Genomic DNA, 21285 nt, shown 5'->3' with positions numbered 1-21285 from the left:
TAATTTCCACTTGAAACTTAATCTAATTTATCCCACAAGGACTTTAAAAGCAAAGAATTTGTAAGATCTGCAGGTTACTATATTATTCTGCCCACTCGTATCTTGTCACAAAAAATACTAGTTTAATAAGTTACAAAGGTATTCCAAAATCTCAGCACACTGGCTCTCATTTTCACTTCACTCCTCCTACCTCTTTAATAATTAAGAGACGCTAACCCAAAGAAAGATATCACATAGACTACTTCCATCCACCAGTGCTAACAATTATCACCAATACTTTAAAAATCATTTTTATATTAGGAAATAATATTTGTAAGTGACTTTGGATCTTCTTCTAGAATAAGATTTCCTGGGAGAAACTGCGTAATTATTATTTCTCAGTAGCCTCATATTACTTTAAAGGCCTACTTTCCAGAGTTTTATTTATCCTTATTTGAGGGAAACAGCAAAGGGTAAAGAGAAAAGAGGAAAGCAGATACCAAGAATTTAAATCACAAACAAGTAGTTCTAGATTCGTCTGAAATCCTTTGTTTTTTAGTGGAGAGAACAGGGTTTTTTATAGTTCATTTATTAAAGATTTGTTATTGTTATATTTTATATAACAGAAAAATTAAAATTGTGTTTAAACTCGCTATTAAAAATCCAGCTAAAGAAAACCATTGCCCTTAAAATCCAATGGATTAGGAGAGTGGGGGAGATCATTGGACAAATTTGGGGCTTATCATTATCAACAGTGCCCTTTTAAGCTTGTGGATTTCTGAGCCAATGTGGAAAATGTAACAACAGGGATTTCCCAGCAGCAAGAGGCACTCTCCAAGGGAGTAAATTGTCAACTATTGCCTCTCGTGAGAAACTTAAGAGTAACCTTGATCCAATCTCAATAGTCAACCCATGTATTATCACCCAGTTGGGGCATAGTGAGTGCATTTTCTAATACAAAAATAAGATGGTATTCCATCAGAAGCCACTGGATACTTGTAAAGAAATAAAATTTAAATAATTTTAAAGTAAACTTAGCTTAAGAAACTGAAAGCATCCTTCCCTTCCCTCACTTCAACTAGCCCCTAAAACACCTATATCTTTCTCATGTAAAAAGAGACCTGTGTCTTGAGATGGGTACCAAAAATCATGATCTTCCTGTAATAAGAGGTCGAATATAAAGCAGAACCAGAGTCATAAATGACATCTTGAGATGGAAGAGACAACCCTACTGTACTAAAAGGATTTACATTCAAAATAACCACTTGTTATACTTTATCTCCTTGAGTTTTAACTTCCTCATCTAAAAAATGAAAACGTTATTATCTATTTCAAAGGATTCTTGTGTAATTTCAGTGAAATAATGCATAGGAAAGCTTCTATCACATCACTGGCGTTCAATACATGTTTTGCCCTTCCTCACTGTGCCCTAAGACAAATCTTTGAGATACGGCTGCCAACAGAAGAGTGATTCTGAACATCCTGACGTTTATTTCATATACCAGCTAGATCTGCACTGTCCAACACAGTAGCCACTAGCTACATTTGTCTATTTAAGTTTAAATTCATTTTAATTATAATTAAAGCAATCTAAAAATCCAGTTCCTCAGCTAGTTGGCACCAGCCAGATACCAAGTGCTCACTGGCCACTTGTGGCTAGAGACTACAGCACTGGATAGTGCAGATGGAGAACGTTTTCATCATCATAAAGTTCTACTGGACAGAGTTGATCTAAACTCTAAAGCAGAGGTCAGCAAACTTTTTTTCTAAAAAAGACCAGAGAGTAAATATATCAGGCTTTGCGGGCCATGTGAGCCTCCATCTTTTCTACTCAGCTCTGCTCTCGTAATACAAAAGCAGCCACAGATGATACATAAATAAATGAGTTTAGCTCTGTTCCAATAGAACATTATTTACAAAAATAGATGGCAGGCTGCATTTGCCCCGATGGCCATCATTTGCCAACCACTGCTCTAGAGCATTCAGAGTACAGACCCCCCAATATAAGCATTTTTCCCATGACCACTACCTACCTCCTTTAAGGCTAAATAGTCTTAAACCCACAGACAGGGAGTTAAATGGAATTTAATATTCAGCGTAACTATTCTTTTACAAATTAAGAAAAACCCATGCACATAGTACTAAAACAGTTGAAGCTTACAGTGTCCATAAAGTGATGTACCTAAATTCTATTTGGTATCTGGCCCATCTTATTAAAGCCAATAACTCTCAATCCATAACTCCTGTCTTGATGTATTCCTGGAATTCTGGATCTATACATCCAATGGCCTCCTTATTATGTCTGGAATTCTATTACTCATGCCAAAGGCAACACATCCATGACAGAATTCTTAATCCTTCTTTCCCAGTTTCCTCCATCTTAGTAAAAGGCTCTACTAGTTATCCTCCTGATTTCTACCTTTCACTCACACTCCAAGCTAATCCATCAGCAAAAAAAAACTCTCTTAAGTCATTCTCATTCATGTCACCTCCTCAAAGAAGCCTTCCCTGACCAATCTAAACCAGCCATCCAAACATTCTCTAGCCCACCATCCTGTTTTAATTATCTACAGAGCATTTACTTCTATCATATTTTCTGTTATTTCTTATACATGTTTATTTACTTATTTAAAGTCTGTTTTCCCAAACCACCCTCTCACCACCCCACATTCCCAACCCATGTCGTCCCCAACCCCAAACCCCTCCCATTCTGGGTAGAATGTAAGCCTCATAACAGGGATCGTTTAGGTCTTGCTTGACACTCTATCCTGAGAACCTAGAACAATGCCTGGCATGCAGTAGATGTTCAATAATAAATACACACACACACGAATTAATGAAACCTTATTTAAATGCCTATTTGTCTCAAACCTGTCATCCAAAGAGAGGGGTACTGTATTTGATGCTGTACAACTAGGTAATAAACTTGACTCTCCCACACTATAACATGTATAGTTAAAAATACTCTCATATCTAGAGATGTGAATGTTATTACGCCATTTACCTCCCTTCCTTTGTATGTCACCAAGGCAGCCAGTGGTTTGGCGTAAAATCTGCTATAGGAAAATCCCAGGCAACCATACATACTGTTCGCTGTGAGCTTCAAAGCCTTCTGTCGAATGTCATACTGCAGGCCACACAGAACAAAAGACAAACAACAACATTTACAGATGGTTAAGCATTACATTAGATGTCTTTCTAGATCTCCAATAAAAAGGGAAACCCTCAATATCCCTGAATAAAAAAGAATTAATATACTCAACCCATTCTCCTGGATCCATGATTCCCTAACCTCCTAGAAGCAGCAAGTAAACACAGACTCCAAAGCTCCCAGGAGCCAGAAGTATCTTGCTCAGATACAATCTTTGTAAACAAAGGTGGCTTCCATTCTGAGGCACTCTAGTATTTTTAAATGGTCACCTATCCACAAACTTAAAATAAGTACCTGCAATTGCCCAGCATCCTGTTTACTCATAAATAATCAAACTGTAAAAGCTGAGACTGTCACTCAAATGTTTCTTAGTGAAAAGATATACCTGAAGAATAAGGTCTGGATTTAAGTCTTGCTGTTTCATTAGCTGTTTGACTTGTTTTCTCCGTTCTACCAGTTTCCGGATCTCTCTGGGCAAAATGCCCATTTCTAAGCTTGGATCTGGCAACTCAGGGATCTGTTCTTGTTCTCCATCCTGATAAACACACAACAAATTTCACACAAATCAAACTTTTGCGAAATAAATTTCTACAGTAATATTTTATAGGAGCTTTCCCCCATGATCACATCTTGAAAAGCTATTATCTTATACAAGGTCAATAATGCATGAGTAGTATAAGAAAGAGCTGAGAGGGTTGTAGAACAGGTCATGATTGCCCTCTTCTCTCCCAATTATATTAGGCTGTCATTCCCAATATCTCCCACCCCTGTAGTTAGACACAAATTTAGATTTCATTTAAAGGGATACATTTGGCCGGGCACGGTGGCTCACACCTGTAATCCCAGCACTTTGGGAAGCCAAGGTGGGCAGATCACGAGGTCAGGAGATTGAGACCATCCTGGCTAACATGGTGAAACCCCGTCTCTACCAAAAATATAAAAAATTAGCCAGGCGCGGTGGCGGGCGCCTGTAGTCCCAGCTACTTGGGAGGCTGAGGCAGGAGAATGGCGTGAACCCGGGAGGCGGAGCTTACAGTAAGCGGAGATCTCGCCACTGCACTCTAGCCTGGGCTACACAGCGAAACTCTGTCTTAAAAAAAAAAAAAAAAAAAAGGGATACATTTTTACACATGCTATCTCTCTTCAACAAAACTGGAGAACAACATGTTTGGGGAAATTGTTTTTAAAATACAAACACTAAGACAGACCTCCAGGATTAAAAAAACAAAATAACTAGCAGCTAAACTACTATTTTAAATCATTTTACTACCAAACAAAATGCTATAGAATTTTAAAACTATGGAGAATCATAGCAGTTATTGTAAATGCTGTAGACTAATAATTAAAAGCTAATAAATCAGCAAATTTAAGAGTTCGGAGCAGCCAGGAGCGGTGGCTCACACCTATAATCTCAGCACTTTGGGAGGCCGAGGCGGGTGGATCACCTGAGGTCGGGAGTTCAAGACCAGCCTGACCAACATGGAGAAACCCCATCTCTACTAAAAATACAAAATTAGCTAGGCATGGTGGCGCATGCCTGTAATCCCAGCTACTCGGGAGGCTGAGGCAGGAGAATTGCTTGAACCCAGGAGGCAGAAGTTGCAGTGAGCCAAGATCACAACATTGCACTCCAGCCTGGGCAAAAAGAGCGAAATTCCATCTCCAAAAAAAAAAGAAAAAAAAAAAAGGAGCTTGGAGCACATTTAAATAGGCCATGACATTTCTAAAAACTAATACATACATATCCCTTAACATTTATGTAGTACCTTTTACCTATAAATTGCTATGCAATCGGCAGAAGAATAGCAACATTTCAGAAAAGCAACCAGCAGTCTTCTTATATTAAAATTTACAGGAAGAAAAAGCAGGGGAAGCATTAGACCATTTTTCCCTAGCCTCCGTAAATTCTATTAACAGCTACAAAGAAAAAAGCCAGGCACATTTGCCCTTTCAAAGGTTCAGAATTAAAAATAAACCTCTTGGTTTAAAGTACATCAAGTCAATGCCATTTGATAACCTAGCCTTTACAAAGCATCTGATTTTATAGAGATCAATATCTTCAAGTGAACACTGTTACAATAGTAATAGGGACCTACTGTTTTCCAATATAACAGATGATGATAGTAAATCTATTAAAGAGATCCTGGTACACATTCTAATTTATTTACAGCAACTATGAAAGTCAGATAAAAAGTAAACTGAAAGATGTGGAGTCAGGAAGTTTACAATCCACTCCTAGCTCTACAACTACTACCTGTGTGACACTAACTGTTCTGAGGTACCATGTATGAAAATGATTCAGATCTATAAATTGCTACATGTATAGTATTTCTTAGATGACCTCTGAGGTCCCTTCCAACTCTAAAATGATTCTATTATATATCCAGAATCCAAGCTGGAAAGCTCCAATAAGCAAAATGGTGGTGGGCAGAGGCTAAATAATATTAATTATCACCATGCTGGCACAGTAGCAGAACAGAGCTCAAATATTAATTGAATGCAGTCATACCTTTTGGGGATGTCTACCCAGTATCTTCTCTGTAAAAGTATCCACTAGTCCCACAGAAAGGTCCACCCTTAGCAGCCAGATCCGTGCCCTGTGAACCTACTCTTGTGGTCACAGGTAACGGGGACCTGGAGTGCTCACCAACCTAGGCAAACCTATCAGATTCTCTCTTCTGGGAATATGAAATTGGGATTGAAAAACAGGTCCTAAGCTTGCGGTGAGAACTGACATATAAATTCAGGAGCTAGAGGGCAAACAGACATCTTCTGCCATGTATTAAAAAAAATTACAAAAAAGAACAAAATGTGGTGTATGTGTATACACCTACACATACACCACACACGCATATAAAATGGAATATTATTCAGCAACACAAACGAATAAAGTACTAGTACATTCTACAAAATGGATGAACCTTGAAAACATTATAAGTGAAATAAGCCAGATACCGAAAGGCCATATAATGTATGATTCTATTTATATGAGACGTCCAGAATACACAAATCTATAAAAGCAAAAAGATTAGTAGTTGCCTAGAGGTGGAAGGGATGGGGATTGAGGGAGGTGACAGCTAAAAGGTTTCTTTGGGGAATAATGAAAATATCCTAAAACTCATTGTGATGATGGTTGCAAACTCTGGGAATACACTAAAAGCCACTGAACTACACACTTCAAACAGGTGAAGTATATGGTATATGAATAATACCACAATAAAACTATTTTAAAAAGACACAGATCTTCCTTCTTTAAGCAATTTTTTTAAACTCAATTTCAAGAGTCCCAGGTTAAATACAAACCTCTGTAACTTTCTGTGCCTCTGAAGCAACTCTTTGTACTGTTGTAAAACAAATGTTAAATTCCTGAATGATGGAAGGATATAGACTGTTGAAGTCCAGAAGCAAAATGAACTTATCATAAAAACCTGAAATTAAAAAGCCACGTCATAAAAAGTCTAAAGAAAAGCAGAATTGTCAAAACATCATTATTAAAAGCACTGTAAGTATATTAGAAACTATATACTATCCATATACACTACCCAGAGCTGTGAAACAGACAAAAAGGGAAAAAAAGAATCAACTACCATTTCATAAAATGATGCGGATTAGTGAAAAGCCAGATCACAAAAGAAGAGGGAGAAAAAGATCCTGTCTCTCTTTAGAACCAGCTACAACCAGTCCTTTCCCCAGCTGTCCCCAAAGCACACCATTATTATGAGCAAATACCTTCCCAATCAGCTATCTGAGACGTGTCACATCCATTAAAAAAAAAAAAATGTTCAACTCTCCTTCAAAGCAAGAATTCTTTGAAGAATCCTCCTACCTACTCTCCCACCCCCCACCCCAAATAAAACCAAGTGAGTGGTTTATTTTTATTTTTATTTTTTTTTTTGAGTCAGAGTCTCACTCTGTCTCCAGGATGGAGTGCCATGGCGCAATCTCAGCTCACCGCAACCTCTGCCTCCCGGGTTCAAGTGAGTCCCCTTGCCTCAGCCTCCCGAATAGCTGGGACTACAGGCGCGCAACACCGTGCTCGGCTAATTTTTTATATTTTAGTAGAGATGGGGCTTCACCATGTTGGCCAGGACGGTCTCGATCTCCTGACCTCGTGATCTGCCTGCCTCAGCCTCCCAAAGTGCTGAAATTACAGGCGTGAGCCACCGCGCCTGGTAGAGTAATTTATTCTTTTACAACAGCTTCAAAAAATAAAATGGACGGCACATTTACCTGTACAAAAACTGAGCTAAAATCAAACAAGAGACACATATATATAAATGTCAGTAGTGGAACGACCCACCCTTTTTACTTGCAAAGGAAGAACAGAAAGCTACTATATTTCTGTAGGACATTTACAAAGAGTTATCTTCACCTTGAGAAGAAACTGAATAAAAATAAATGTCCACTATTAAGACAATAATAATTGCAAACATATAGGATAGTTTATTCTGTGTCCAGCACTATACTAATTTATCCTTAAATCCCTGTGTGGTAGATATTACTCTTAACTCTATTTTACAGAAGAAACTGAGGCTTACAGAGGTTAAACAGGCAGCCCAAGATCACACTGAATTCAAACCCAGACCTACATAACACCAAGTACTACTGCTCCATTTCATTATAACTAATAACAAAATCACTTTTGTCAAAAATGTTTCCTACTCAGAACTAACTTATTAGATAAAATTCACATTAATTCCTTCACAGCAATGTGAATATTCTTAACACTACTGCTGAACTGTACACTTGGGAAGGGTTGAAATGTTTTTTTATATATACAAAAAAATTAGCTGGGTATGCTGGCACACACCTGTAGTCCTAGCTACTCAGGAGGCTAAGGCAGGAGAATCGCTTGAACCCAAGAGGTGAAGGTTGCAGTGAGTAGAGATCGCACCACTGCACTCCAGCCCGGGCAACAGAGTAAAACTCTGTCTCCAAAAAAAAAAAAGAAAAAAAGAAAAAAAAATTATTTCTAGCTCTGTGTACCACAAAACATCTTTGCCATTCATGACAATAGGGAAAAAGATATTCTCCTATTAAAGTTAAATTTGGTGGTTATTGTCTGCACGTCCTTCAACTTTGCTGTCAACTGAACTGGTCAGGACAAACAGCTATCTATGTACTGGACAGCTATCTATGTATTAGACAAACTACGGCTACAGACCAAATCCAACCTACTTATTTTTGTACCACCCATGAGCTTAAGTATGGTTTTTACATTTTTAAATGGCTGGAAAAAAATCAAAAACAATATTTCATGACATATGAAAACTATATGAAATTTAAATTTCAATGTCTATAAATAATATTTTATTGGAACACAGCATAACAAAATTCACATTAAGTCTATGTCAGGTGACTGGCAACCAAGATTTTCACGTGAACGAAAGATAAAAGTCATGAGACCTATTCGCTGATCTATAAGATATAATTCAGTCTTCTAGTTTCTCAAGCCTAGATCCACATTAAGAAATTCCTTAATACTGGGAGAAAACCAATTCACTGCCCAGCCTTACCAACTTTGGGGTCCAAAACCAAGCCTCCAGCATAAGCTGCTTTCTTACGTCCTTTCTTGTATTTATTGGTATCTCCATCAATTTCTTCATCTTCATCTCCCTAATATCAAATGGAAAGATAACTTCACCAGCCAGCAACTAATTAACTAATTTAAAATTTTGATGATTCTCTCTTTTCCAATTGCAGGACTTAGTTCTAACAAACATTTCAGTTAGTGGTCCTATCTGTTGGGAAAGACAGTTATTGTAATATGTTCACGAATCCAAATGAATCCCAAGCATAGTAATTTCTTAAACAAATACTATATCCTGAGTTAACAAATATGAAAATTCTATTTTTATGTGTTTTTGAATTTACAGAATTTCATATTTTTAAATCAATGAATATTGAAAAATACCACTTTTCATGTTATATAAAATTTGAGATTATAAAACAGCCCTCTTAAAATCACTACTCTAACATTCGTGATGTAAAAACATAAAATACTTCATGCAGGTATTATCATTATCCCTATTATTAATATGGACACCATAAAACAAGTACATCCATATACTGAAAATCCATTCCTAAGTAGTTTATTACTGGCCAACATTCAATACCTCAGCAGAAGTTAAAGTCCTCTAAATGAATATGCCCTATACCAATTTTGATAATGTACATTAAAAAACAAGCAAATATGAGAACCTGAATCAAATTCTAACATTCAATTCCCATTTCTGAATTAATTAATATCAGTGCTAATAAAACAGTAGCTAAACTAAGTTTTAGTTCCAAAGTGATGGAGGCTACTTCAGAAACCTGACTGTGGGTGACCTTGGTCATACTAGTACAGAAAAATGCAACACAAAAATAAAGGCTCATAGGTTTAAGAAAATAAAAAGTTTAACTGGCATTTATCTTTGGATAGGGCTGAGGTGCCAGAACACATTCCATGTATGGTCACCCATCAGAGAGGTCTAATGCTTCCCTCAAAGAATTTCACATTTCACAAATAATTTTGTCTGCACAAAGTGCATTTTCCTTTTACAAAGTGGAAAAGGAAATGACCACACAAAAACAAGGGAATAAACTTGACACGGTTTCTTTAGTACACAAGGGATTAGCTATTTTGAAAGCAGATGTTATCACAGAAAAAAAAGGCTATCTAGGTATTAAAAGGGGGGGGGGGGTTAAGAGAAAACAAAATACTACACAGTTTTGGACCCACCAGTTTTTGCTGAGGCTTTCTGAAAATCTGCTTGTCAGGCACAATATAGTTGTTTTCGTAAAATGCATGAAGCAACAAGAACTCGTTACGCTCGGATCGTCCACCCATCAGCGTCCTGGACTATTAAATGGAATTTATTTTTTAAATTTGAGCTCAAAACCACAACTAACAAAAGCAACTTTGAGTCAGTAAGTTTAGTCACAGCACCTCCTTCAAAACTATTCCTAATAACGGTCTGCTTTTTTTTTAAAAAAAAAAAAGGTACTAAATTATTCCTAACGTTTTCTTTAAGCATTATAGCTAAAGGAGACAAAGAGAGCTTAAAATATTGACAACTTGGCTATTTATTTACTCCCAAATGGACCATTCCACTAAAAAGACACATCCAGATGTTAGAGAGATGATCCGTATGTTCACCCAAATTTCAACACGCTGCACCTGGCATTCCTCCCCTTCTCCCAACCAGTTCTTCCTTTTACAAAAGAAATCCAGCTTTCAGAATCCAAGTTACTCATTTTATAAGCATGCATTTAGACTCATTATCATATAACAACTACCCCAAGCAAACACTGAATCCAACAGGAAATGCTTTTTCCCCCTTTCTAAGTTAAATTTACCATAATGTTCCCAGCGATGTTAGTGATCTGCAATGCTAATGGAAGAACATTTAGCTCACACATGATCTGCAAAATGAACTTGGCATCTTTCCAGGTGTGTTCCAACAGGTATAACAGTTGAGAAGATTCACTGTACAGAAAAGTAAGAATGAAACAGAATCAAGTAATTAAAAGAAACAATGCCTATAATCAGAACTTCACAAAATATTATAAGGAATTCTGGGTGTAAGTAAATTCAGAGCAACAGCACCTTGGCTTCAGAAACAATTTAAAATAAGGTCAGTATGTAACTAGGAATTCATTCATACCACTGATCCCAATGCTTTTCTCCAAAACACACACACACACACACGCGCGCACACACACACACACACACACACACACACACAAAATCCCATAAGGAAAAACTGAAGTAATATAATAACTACAAGCCTGAAAACTACCTAAATCCTTTCATTCATTCCATCCAGTGAGTATGTATTGCATGCTTACTATATGCCAGGCATTGGCTGTGACCAAAACAAACAAAACTTCCTATCCTCCTGGAGCTTATGTCCTCACGGGGGAGACAGAGTATAAAAAAAAACAAAGAAATTAAGTATATAGTATGTTATATAATGTTAAAAGTTAAGCAACGGGAATATTAAGTATCAGAAGCAGAGACTGAAATTTTTGTTAGGAAACAGTGGAAGATTTTACTGAGAATGAAGATCTTGAAGAGGTGAGGGAGCAAGCCTTATGGAAAGAGCATTCCAGGCAGACAGGATAGCACATTCAAAAGTCCTGAGCTGCGTGCAAATCTGACAGTTCCAGGACTAGGAAAGAGGCCAATATGGCTAGATCAGAGAGAATGATGGAAAGAGCAGTACGAGATAAGGACAGAGTTAACGACATAGAGACACATTGTAAAGGACCTTGTAAGTAAAAATAAGGACTTTAGTTTTTACTCTGAATGAAACAGAGAGTCACTGGAAGGTTCTGAGCAGAGTATCACATCTGACTTGATTTTAGCAGGATAACTCTGATTCTGGATTGAGAATCGACCACAAGGGGGTAAGGGCAAAAGTAAGGGGATAGGCATATAAACCCAGTAATCCAGGGGAAAGAGGATAGCAGCTTGGATAGGATGGGTCCAATGCAGTTGAAAAGAAGTGGTCAGACTTAGATCTATTTAGAAGATAGAACTGATAGGATACCCTGATGCATCTACTGTGGGATATCAGAGAGAGGAATTAAAGATGCCTCAGACATGTGGGGCTAAGTAAGACTCTGGAAGTTTCCAGTGATAATGGAAAAAATACACCTATTAATTTAGTAAGGAAAGACTATAGGAAGAACCTAGGATAGAAGATCAGAGCTCAATTTTGAACAAGCTGGGAGTTCACATTAGATATCAAGTAAAATAGGTAAAACAGATACACTGAGTGTGGAATTTAGGGAGGTCTAACCTGAAGATACACAGGTGGGAAGCATAGCCATCCCATGGTATTTAAATTCCTAAGACTCAATGAGATCACCTAGAGAAAGAACAAAGTCAGAAAAGAGAAGTCCAAGAAAGAACTCAGGAAGAACTAGCAGGAATGAATGAGAGATGGCCAGAGGAGTAGGAGGAAGAAATAAGCAAGCAATACCTCTAACTTAATGATTGCTCAGTTTTTATATTTCTAAAATATCTACCCTAATTCCTGAATAAATGAATTAAGAGTAGAAATCTAAATCCAAACTACTGTTAGGAAACATCAAGATAGTGTTAACACAGGTGAGGGAGACGGAGATAAACTGATCAATTACAATAATTCAAGAGGTAAACTAGTTCAAATTATGAAAGTAGTAGAGACAATTTCCCCTCTACAACACCACTGGCTCATGTCCCTCCAGACTAAGGATAGTACTAGTAGTGTCCTGCTGTTGTTAATTTCAAGACAGATGAATTCTGAAGAATCTAGGATCATACCTGTACATATTTTGTATATTTTCCATTGGGATTACAACCCTTTCAGTTTTTAGAATCTGCTGAACAAGTTCAGACAGATGGTAGCTTTTACAACGAATCAATTCCTTTGCTGAAATTTCCACATCACAGATCATTCGACCACAGGTAGCATTTCTTTCACCAAATCCACTCCGGCCCTACAAGATGGGAACAAAAAGCAAACTTCATGAAAGAGCAGACACTGAGAACATTTCTTTCTAACCTATTTTGAAGCTGGCCCAAAATTATGATAAAACTCTCATTCTTCCATACATCAATCAAATATTTTTGAACATTTACTATGTATCTGACATTATTCTAGGCACTCAGGATACAGCAGTGATCAAAACAGAAAGGATTCCTGGCCTCATTTGAAATGTATAATAAAAAACAGACATCATAAACAAGAAATTATATAGTTTTAGGAGGTAACAAGTGGATGGAAAATGGGAAAACAGCAGGGTGAGGGGTACAAGGAATACGGGGGGACTGCCATCTTAAATAGGGTAATGGGGTATACCTCACTGAGAAGATGCCACATAAAGAAAATCTTGAAGGGGGTAAAAAGCTAAGCAAGTGTTCAGATGAAGTGCTAATAACAACTCTACCACCTTAAAGATATGAATAAGAAAAGAAGCAAGAGCAGTGGCCCCAACTTTGATCTGTAGTGGCAGAATCCTCTAGAGAACATTACGAAAAAGGTACAGATTCCTAACTTATCTGATGAGGCAACATGTCCATTTTATTTATAAGCTTTAAGTAAAATAAGATTTCAAGCACTGAGCAGTATCAGGTTTAGGAAGAAGGTGCTTCATACAAAAACTGCCAAAACCTCCATACATGAAGCAAGCAGGCAGAATGAAAAGTACACATTGGCTTTAAGAGTCACCCAGGCCTGGGTTCAAATCTCAGTTCTTCCCCTTACTACTTACATGATCCAGAACAAGTTACGTTACCCCTATGAGACTGTCTATAAAATAAAACTGGAGTTGTCATGAGAGGTAACTAACACAGAAAGCACTTAGTTTATTGCCTTCTTTTTTCCTTTTTTTTTTATTACAAGATATCAGCAAGCAATATTGCGTTCTTATACAACCAACATCAACTCCCTTCCATTCATTCTTCCCATTTTCTTCCTAAATGATAGCACTCAACGATTTCTGAACCATGCAACCTTGCCCTAAGGGCTATCACTTCAGGAATGACAAAGTGAAGGTAACATGTATGGGCTGTCTTTGTTCACTATCCCTAGATTCTAACCAATGATTTTAAAAACTACCAGAGGCTTTTTTTTTTTTTTTTTTTTTTTTTTTGAGACGGAGTCTCGCTCTGTCGCCCAGGCCGGACTGCGGACTGCAGTGGCGCAATCTCGGCTCACTGCAAGCTCCGCTTCCCGGGTTCACGCCATTCTCCTGCCTCAGCCTCCCCAGTAGCTGGGACTACAGGCGCCCGCCACCGCGCCCGGCTAATTTTTTGTATTTTTAGTAGAGACGGGGTTTCACCTTGTTAGCCAGGATGGTCCCGATCTCCTGACCTCATGATCCACCCGCCTCGGCCTCCCAAAGTGCTGGGATTACAGGCTTGAGCCACCGCGCCCGGCCAAAACTACCAGAGGCTTTTACAAATAAAATGCTGAATTCAAAGGAAAAGATGTTTAGTGCCAAAGTTAAAATGTACTGAAGTTCCCATAACAAGATAACCAATTCCTGTTTTAAAAAGTATAGTGTGTTCCTTGGTAGCTATCCCAAATTAAAATAAATAGATAAATAAGATTTTGAAAATTATTATTACCCCAAGCTTTGGCATGTTGGATCGCTTCAGTCGACCTATCTTGGACCAGTGAGGAGCTTTGCACACATTAATTCTCTGCAGTAGTACTTCCAGTTCAAACCCATAAATATTATGACCCTAGTCAGAAAAAGAAGGCAGCTGATAATGTTATAACAAATGCAAATTAGAGGATTTATCTTCATACGCACAGAATTTCTTTGCCCTTTCTTTTTCTAGTCTCTAATTGAAGACATCATGCACTTACCTCCGATTGGGGGTCCTTTCTTCTTCAGGAATTTATTCATCAGCAGCACTCATTAGCCTTGACATTAACAAGGCTGCTAAGCAGATTGCTGGAATAAACTTTATTTCATCCTAATTGATGCAAGGCTCATATGATATCTTTTAATTTGCAGCTCATGCCTTACGGTCTCGGAGGAAAATGCAAATTTAATGTCCCATACTTTTCATATGATCGGTAAAAGCTAAATTCAAATAATTCCATTTTGCTTCCTTAAAAACACAGAACCTGCCTGGTGTTGTATGACAGTTTATGTAAGACTTCTTCGAAAACTCAGGAACTGCATTTAGCTTCTTTTTAAAAATTGAGTTCAAACACTACTGATTTAGACTCATAATTGATATGCAACAAGATAAATATATAATACCACTAAATAGTTCAAATAAGAAACTTGTTAAAAACAAAGAAACAAAACTATATAGAGTAGAAATTATCTCAAAAATGCAACTAGATTTTTCATTTCCGTAATTTCCAACACGTGAACATGATTCACTTTCCTATGTTTATCAAAAATTAGATGAAGTTTAAAATAATTCACATCAATAAATATACTTGTTATTAAACTTAATTAAAAATATATACCACTACTTAGAGTAGTCAAAATCATAGAAACAAAAAGCAGAATGGTGGTTGCCAGGGGCCGGGGAATGGGAAGTTAATGAGTACAGCGTTTCAGTTTTACAAAATGAAAAGAGTTACAGAGATGGATCGTGGTGATGGTTGTATAACATTATGAGTGTAGTTAATACCACTGAACTGTATACTATAAAATGGTCAACATAGTTAATTTTATATGTATTTTACCACTAGATATTTATAGCAGTTTTGCTTATTAAATTAGAAGACCCAAAGGCCTTGAGGAAGTCTCACTTACAAATTATAATACCTAGAATCAGGGACCCATATTCATGTCAGAATTCCATCTTACATCTAGATTTCTCACGCATAGACTTGGCTCTAACACCTGAAGCCAGGCCAGGTTTCCCAGGCTTCATGGCATCTCCTTGGGGTCCAAGAAACTGTTGTTATTGGAGGCTGACTGAGGGCCTGGTGCTGAGACAGAATGTCACAGTCCAACACTGTGGACAGAATCTTTTTGGAACTTTAAAGATAGGTCTTGAAATATCATAAGGGAAGTGGGTGCAGAGATATCGCTTCCTATCCACAGGAACTCAGGATGCTAGCTATACAGTTGCCAGATAAGGTATCCAAGAGTAAAAATGAATGTAGGGAAGAATACGGCAAACACTTTTGCAAGACTTTAATGTACCCAAATTACCCATATCACATCCAAAATATAGGCATTTATAGCCTACATTCCTCTGAAAAAACAAAAACAATATGATTGATCCATTAACCTAGAAAAAAGACAAATGAAGGAATTCCATATTCTACAAACTAGAAAGGCCAGAGGATATATAAAACAAAATGTTGCCTTATGACTCTCAGGAATTGGGGCAAAAAATAGCTCAATGAATTATTAGCTCAAGCTATCTAGTGGGGATATACTGGATCGTCAAGAGAAAAATCAATTCCGAGCCCTGAGTTTTCAAAGGAATATGTCATAGAGATCCACTGAACTCATAAAATTAAAATACTTAGTTTTGTGATTTGCACCAAACCAAGGGAATTAATAAACTCCTGTGACCACTATACAACTACTAAGTCAATATTTTGGCGATAACTCCATTTGTACATGTTTACTTATTTATGTGCTGGTCTCTAAGCATAAATAGCCAGACAATCCTTAACTTCAACACTAAGTCATAGGTTGCTTTTATACTAGAGAAAAAAAAAAACTATCTTGCAGTGGGCTTGCTATTTTTTTCTCCTATTAGCAGCAATTCCCACCAGTCCACAGGATCATTTTACTCTGAAAAGATTATTTGCTGCTCAAAAGCACCAATAAAGTCACACTGAAAAGAACTAAGAAATGAAGAGCTTCCCCACAACATGATCAAACATCTACTCACCACAATGATATCAGGATCAATTTTGTGAACTTTTGCAAGGAAAAAACCTAGCAGTGTTCTTTCTGTTGCAGCAACCTCAACCTTCACATTCTGTTAGATAAAAACACACCAGTCACTGACGACTCTTTACTGTCCGCAAGTACTGTATCTTGGCTTCTTGTTCAACTATGGTAAGATTTCTTAGGGTTAAAAGAAACCATCCATTTCAAAACTAAATGTAGCAATGAAATTCCTGATTGTAGGTTTCATAGTAATAATTTCAAAGTCTCTGAGGAGCTCATTCTAGTAATAAGCATGTGAATAAAGCAAAATATTTTAAGTGCTGAGCAACATAAAATATAGAAATGTCCCTCCACAGGGACATGCTTGTGCATCTGGACACATTTAGAGCATATGAATCAGAGTACCTATCAAAAACATTACTTTCCTATATAATCCCTGGTAGACTTCACTGTTTATGTATTTACTGGGCAAAGAAATCCCAAGGATTGTATAAAATAATCCCAAATGGTAAGATGAGAACTGATAAATAAGAAACTAGACTAAAAACAAACATATTTAAGAATTATAAGTGGCTGGGCGCAGTGGCTCACACCTGTAATCCCAGCACTTTGGGAGGCTGAGGCGGGTGAATCACTTGAGGTCAGGAGCTTGAGACCATCCTGGTCAATATGGTGAAACCCTGTCTCTACTAAAAATACAAAAATTAGCTGGGCGTGGTGCCACGAGCCTGTAATCCCAGATACTCAGGAGGCTGAGGCACGAGAATCCCTTGAACTAGGGAGTGGAGGCTGCAGTGAGCCAATATCACGCCAATGCACTCCAGCCTGGGCAACAAAGCGGGACTCCGTCTCAAAAAAAAAGTCGGTTTGACTCTAATGGAATTTTCCTAGGTCATTTTACCTGGTTAGGTAATTCACGGCACTTCACAAATAATAGCCTAATCTAACAGTACCTCCCAACTACTGGACTTCTCAAGCCAATTAAATAAAATAAGTAGAACCTGACAAGGTTGCTTACTTTTGTCAGATGAAGACATTAAAAAACAAAACAAACCTAAAAACGTATCAATATCATCACTTCGTAAAAGAAACAACATACAATCCATAAAAGAAAATTCTTTTAATTGAATACATTTACCTTTGTGAAAAATTCACTACATTATACTACTTCCCACTCCTCCCCATTTTATTAAGGACCCATGAAAACTTCTTCATGGAGCACGCTGGAATTTAGAGATCACTGATCCATTTTGGCCAACCCCATGTCAACTTTGTCAATACATGGCTCTTTAACGTCCACAGTATTCCCAACTTCATTTAGCTTCCCTCAAGCTGGGGAGGGACTCTACCCAACACCTTCCCAAAACAGGAATCATATGATCATGCATTTTAGAGAAGCTTCTAATTAAGCTATTGGAGGGGGGTTTGAGCCTATCCAACCACCAATACAGTACAGAATCCCATTATTTTCAGGTAGTAAAACATTTAAACATTGTTAAATAATGCTTCTAGGTGTATGTCTAATACATTTTAATGGGTCGATGTCATAGTCCAATCTGGCAGGAATGAATCTAATAAAATATAAAACACCTTTTTTCTACTAGTCCATACCACCCCCCTTTTCTTTCTCGCTCCAAACAAACAGGTGCTTCATATAATGAGCACTTTACCTTTTTCTCAATGACTTCTTTGAAAGCATATGGAAAAATACAGTCCTTTGGTTTAGACACAACTGTAAAAAGGAAAAAAAATAAAGATTCCAACACCCATCTTAGTCTAATTTCAGGTAATCATATAGTACATGTTTCCAAACGAAACTGTCTTAAATATATTCCCCCCAACCCTAAAGAATTAGGAGGGTCATCAAATACTTCCACTGGTCATGTTGATGACCTCAAAAGAATGGTCAAGCACAGAACCCTAAGTCCCTGCAGTTGTTAAAACTGCTTTGATGAAACATTTGCTATCTATCCACTGAAGCCAGAATGGAAGATTTTAGCAGTCTTCCTCAAAGGAAATCCCACCACCACCAATGCCGCAAGCAACATACAGCGGAGAAACTCAGTTCAGCCTTCTGAAAAGGTAAAATTGACCAAAGCTTCCCCTATTACACACTGTAAGTTCCTTACCATACACAACAGCTGTTCACATAGTGACGTACATAGAGGAAGTGAATAAATGCGTGTTGAAATGAACTCATGATTGCTCTCTTCTACATATTTTCCAGGCTATTCTCATCACCATTTTGTTCCATGTGTTCCACCCACTTAAGGGGGAAAACTTCACAACAATCATATCTCATACTCCCTTCTCTGCATGTTTTAGTCCTACTTTCCTAACACCCAAGAAAACCAGACGAGAGGCTCGCCAAGTTAATCTCTGCTTCTGGGCTGAAAAAGATCCCAGGAAATATAATAGGTCAATGGTATTATTCCCTTTTTTAAAAAACAGCAAAATGCTTAGGTAACTGGCCAAGCTCTCAACATGGAATATATCAGAATCCTCCTTGGAGACTGACTCATAAAACACATATGCAGAACTTGGTGGAATTGTTTCATCCATTGAATTTTATGCATAGCACAACCCAACTCCAATTCTTATTACTATAACTCCTCCCAAATAGGTAAATATTTATTCCTTGGCATCTTGCCTCATCACACAGAAAACTTTGATCAAGCTTCTATGATAGGCTATTAGAATGACATCAGAAAATAAAGTCTAATTTTGACCCAGGAAAAAACTACTCAACCTCAGTAGAGCAACCATTGAAACAAAAAAAAGATGTCAAATAGACTCCAGACTTCTCCTAGAAAAAAAAAAATGAACCAGCTGAATAGGAGGCAACCAACCCAATAAAACTTAGTTTCCATGGCAAAAAAAAAAAAAACAAAAAAAAACAAAACCCTCTTTAACAATATGCACTATTCTTGAAAACAATTTTTGAAAAACAAGTTACTGATCCAATAGCTGGAGAAAAAATAAGGAAATTCAAATCAAGCTGTTAGTAAGCCAGCTTAAAAAAAAATACATACCACAGAAGTGTGACTGAAAGGGAGGCTTTGGGGCTGCTTTATCCAATGCAAAACTGTGATGGACCAAAGCTGCCATAGCAATAATCTGCAAAGAAAGGAGGAAAAAACCCACTTACCAGACCGCTACTATACATTCTGCATTCTCACCAAAATCACCAAGAATATTTAAAGATACACATTTAAACACATATGAAAAGTTTGGCCAGGCGTGGTGGCTCATGCCTGTAATTCCAGCACTCTGAGAGGCTGAGGCGGGTGGACCACTTGAGGTCAGGAGTTCGAGACGAGCCTGGCCAACATGGTAAAACCCCGTCTCTACTAAAAATACAGTACTTAGCTGGGCATGGTGGCGTGCACCTGTAATCCCAGCTACTCGGGAGACTGAGGCAGGAGAATCACTTGAACCCAAGAGGCAGAGGTTGTAGTGAACTGAGATCGCACCACTGCGCTCCAGCATGGGTGACAGAGTGAGACTCTGTCTCGAAAAATAATAAATACTTTAAACTTTTTATTATAAAAATATGTAAACACATTAAAAATAGACAAAATAAAATTAACTCCTGTATAGCCATCATCCAGTTTCAATTATCAACTCATCTATAACCCTACCTACTTCCTTCCTCTCTCTAGATTATTTTGAAGCAAAACCCAAACCCATCATTTTATCTGGGAAGATTTCAGCATCAATCTCTAAAACTGGGTTTCTCAATCATGGAGCTATTAACACCTTGGGCCAAATAATTCTTTGTTGTGGGGGCTGTCCTGTGCTCTGTATGATGTTAGCAGCATCCCCAGCATCTCCCTACTAGTTGCCAGTATTACCATTCCCAGACCCCCTGAGTTGTGACAACCAAAAATGTCTCCAGACATTGTTAAATGTCCCCTTAGAGGCAAAATCTCACCCAGCTGACAACCACCACCACTCTGAAAGATAAGAAGTTTGAAAAATATAATCACAATACAATTATCTCACCTAATACAATTACATGAATAGTAATTTCTTAAAATCATTAATTATCCAGGCAGAATTTAAATTTTCATATTTTCCAATTATCTCAATTTTATTTACCACACAAGGACCATACTTTGTAATGGCTGATATGTAAAACTACAGGTACAACCCTATCCCATCTGTCATTCCCCTATAATTTACTTGCTAAAGAAACTAGGCTGTTTGTCCTAGAGAGTGCCCCATAGTATGGATTCTACTACTTGTGTCCCAACAGTGTCACTTAACTTGTTTTTCTGTCTCCATACTGTCTATAAATTCATAGTTAGGTCTAAAAGCTTGATCAAAATCAGGTTCAATTCTGGGGCAAGAATACTTTAGAGGCGCTGATTACTTCTATCCAAAGGCACAGGCACATAATGTCTGCTCATCTCTACCTTAGAGATATAAGTACCCACTGGTGATCACTTCCTAGATCCATTATTTCACCGGCAATTACAAAGTGGTACTATTCCATTTATCTTTCATTTATTAGCTGGAAACCGTCTATGAAGAGAAACTTCCCCTCATCAATTATTTGGTTGCCTGAGGTATAGCATGTGTTCAGAAAAGTCAAAAACCTTCATTCAATCCCTTTATCAGTTTTCAAAATAATGAGTTGGTTCCCCAGCTTCCTTCAGAAGTGATCGATGTGGTGTCATTGCAGACAATATCATTATGAACTCATGGATCTGATGTGTTGCAATCTGTTCAACTTATTCTTACCCTCACATTGTCCCATCTTTGTTCAGTAGAAGACTCTTCAAGTTGATTCC

At 37.6% G+C, this 21285-nt stretch overlaps 1 protein-coding gene and 1 non-coding gene across 17 annotated transcripts in view; both read right to left on the bottom strand.

Moving 5' to 3' along the window:
* POLA1 (DNA polymerase alpha 1, catalytic subunit) overlaps positions 1 to 21285 on the bottom strand; it is a 303069-nt gene that overhangs the window by 245011 nt on the left and 36773 nt on the right. For 12 of the 16 annotated variants that reach the window (NM_001440806.1, NM_001330360.2, NM_001378303.1 and 9 more), the window contains 11 exons: positions 19522 to 19606; positions 18160 to 18221; positions 16488 to 16577; positions 14235 to 14351; positions 12426 to 12601; positions 10472 to 10601; positions 9855 to 9974; positions 8647 to 8746; positions 6434 to 6558; positions 3516 to 3665; positions 2984 to 3106 (listed from right to left, as the gene is read on the bottom strand). In NM_001440806.1, coding sequence (NP_001427735.1) covers positions 2984 to 3106; positions 3516 to 3665; positions 6434 to 6558; positions 8647 to 8746; positions 9855 to 9974; positions 10472 to 10601; positions 12426 to 12601; positions 14235 to 14351; positions 16488 to 16577; positions 18160 to 18221; positions 19522 to 19606 — 1278 coding nt within the window. Of the gene's footprint in view, positions 1 to 2983; positions 3107 to 3515; positions 3666 to 6433; positions 6559 to 7082; positions 7377 to 8646; positions 8747 to 9854; positions 9975 to 10471; positions 10602 to 12425; positions 12602 to 14234; positions 14352 to 16487; positions 16578 to 18159; positions 18222 to 19521; positions 19607 to 21285 lie in introns of those variants that run through there. The other 4 variants (XM_011545541.3, XM_047442183.1, NR_165483.1 and 1 more) reach the window with 3 other exon arrangements.
* SCARNA23 (small Cajal body-specific RNA 23) lies at positions 7406 to 7535 on the bottom strand. Its single transcript, NR_003007.1, has one exon.

Source organism: Homo sapiens, chromosome X (assembly GCF_000001405.40).
Source record: "Homo sapiens chromosome X, GRCh38.p14 Primary Assembly".
NCBI classification, from domain to species: domain Eukaryota; kingdom Metazoa; phylum Chordata; class Mammalia; order Primates; family Hominidae; genus Homo; species Homo sapiens.
Note: the sequence above shows the minus strand (reverse complement) of the source record. Positions and strands in the feature narration are given on the sequence as shown.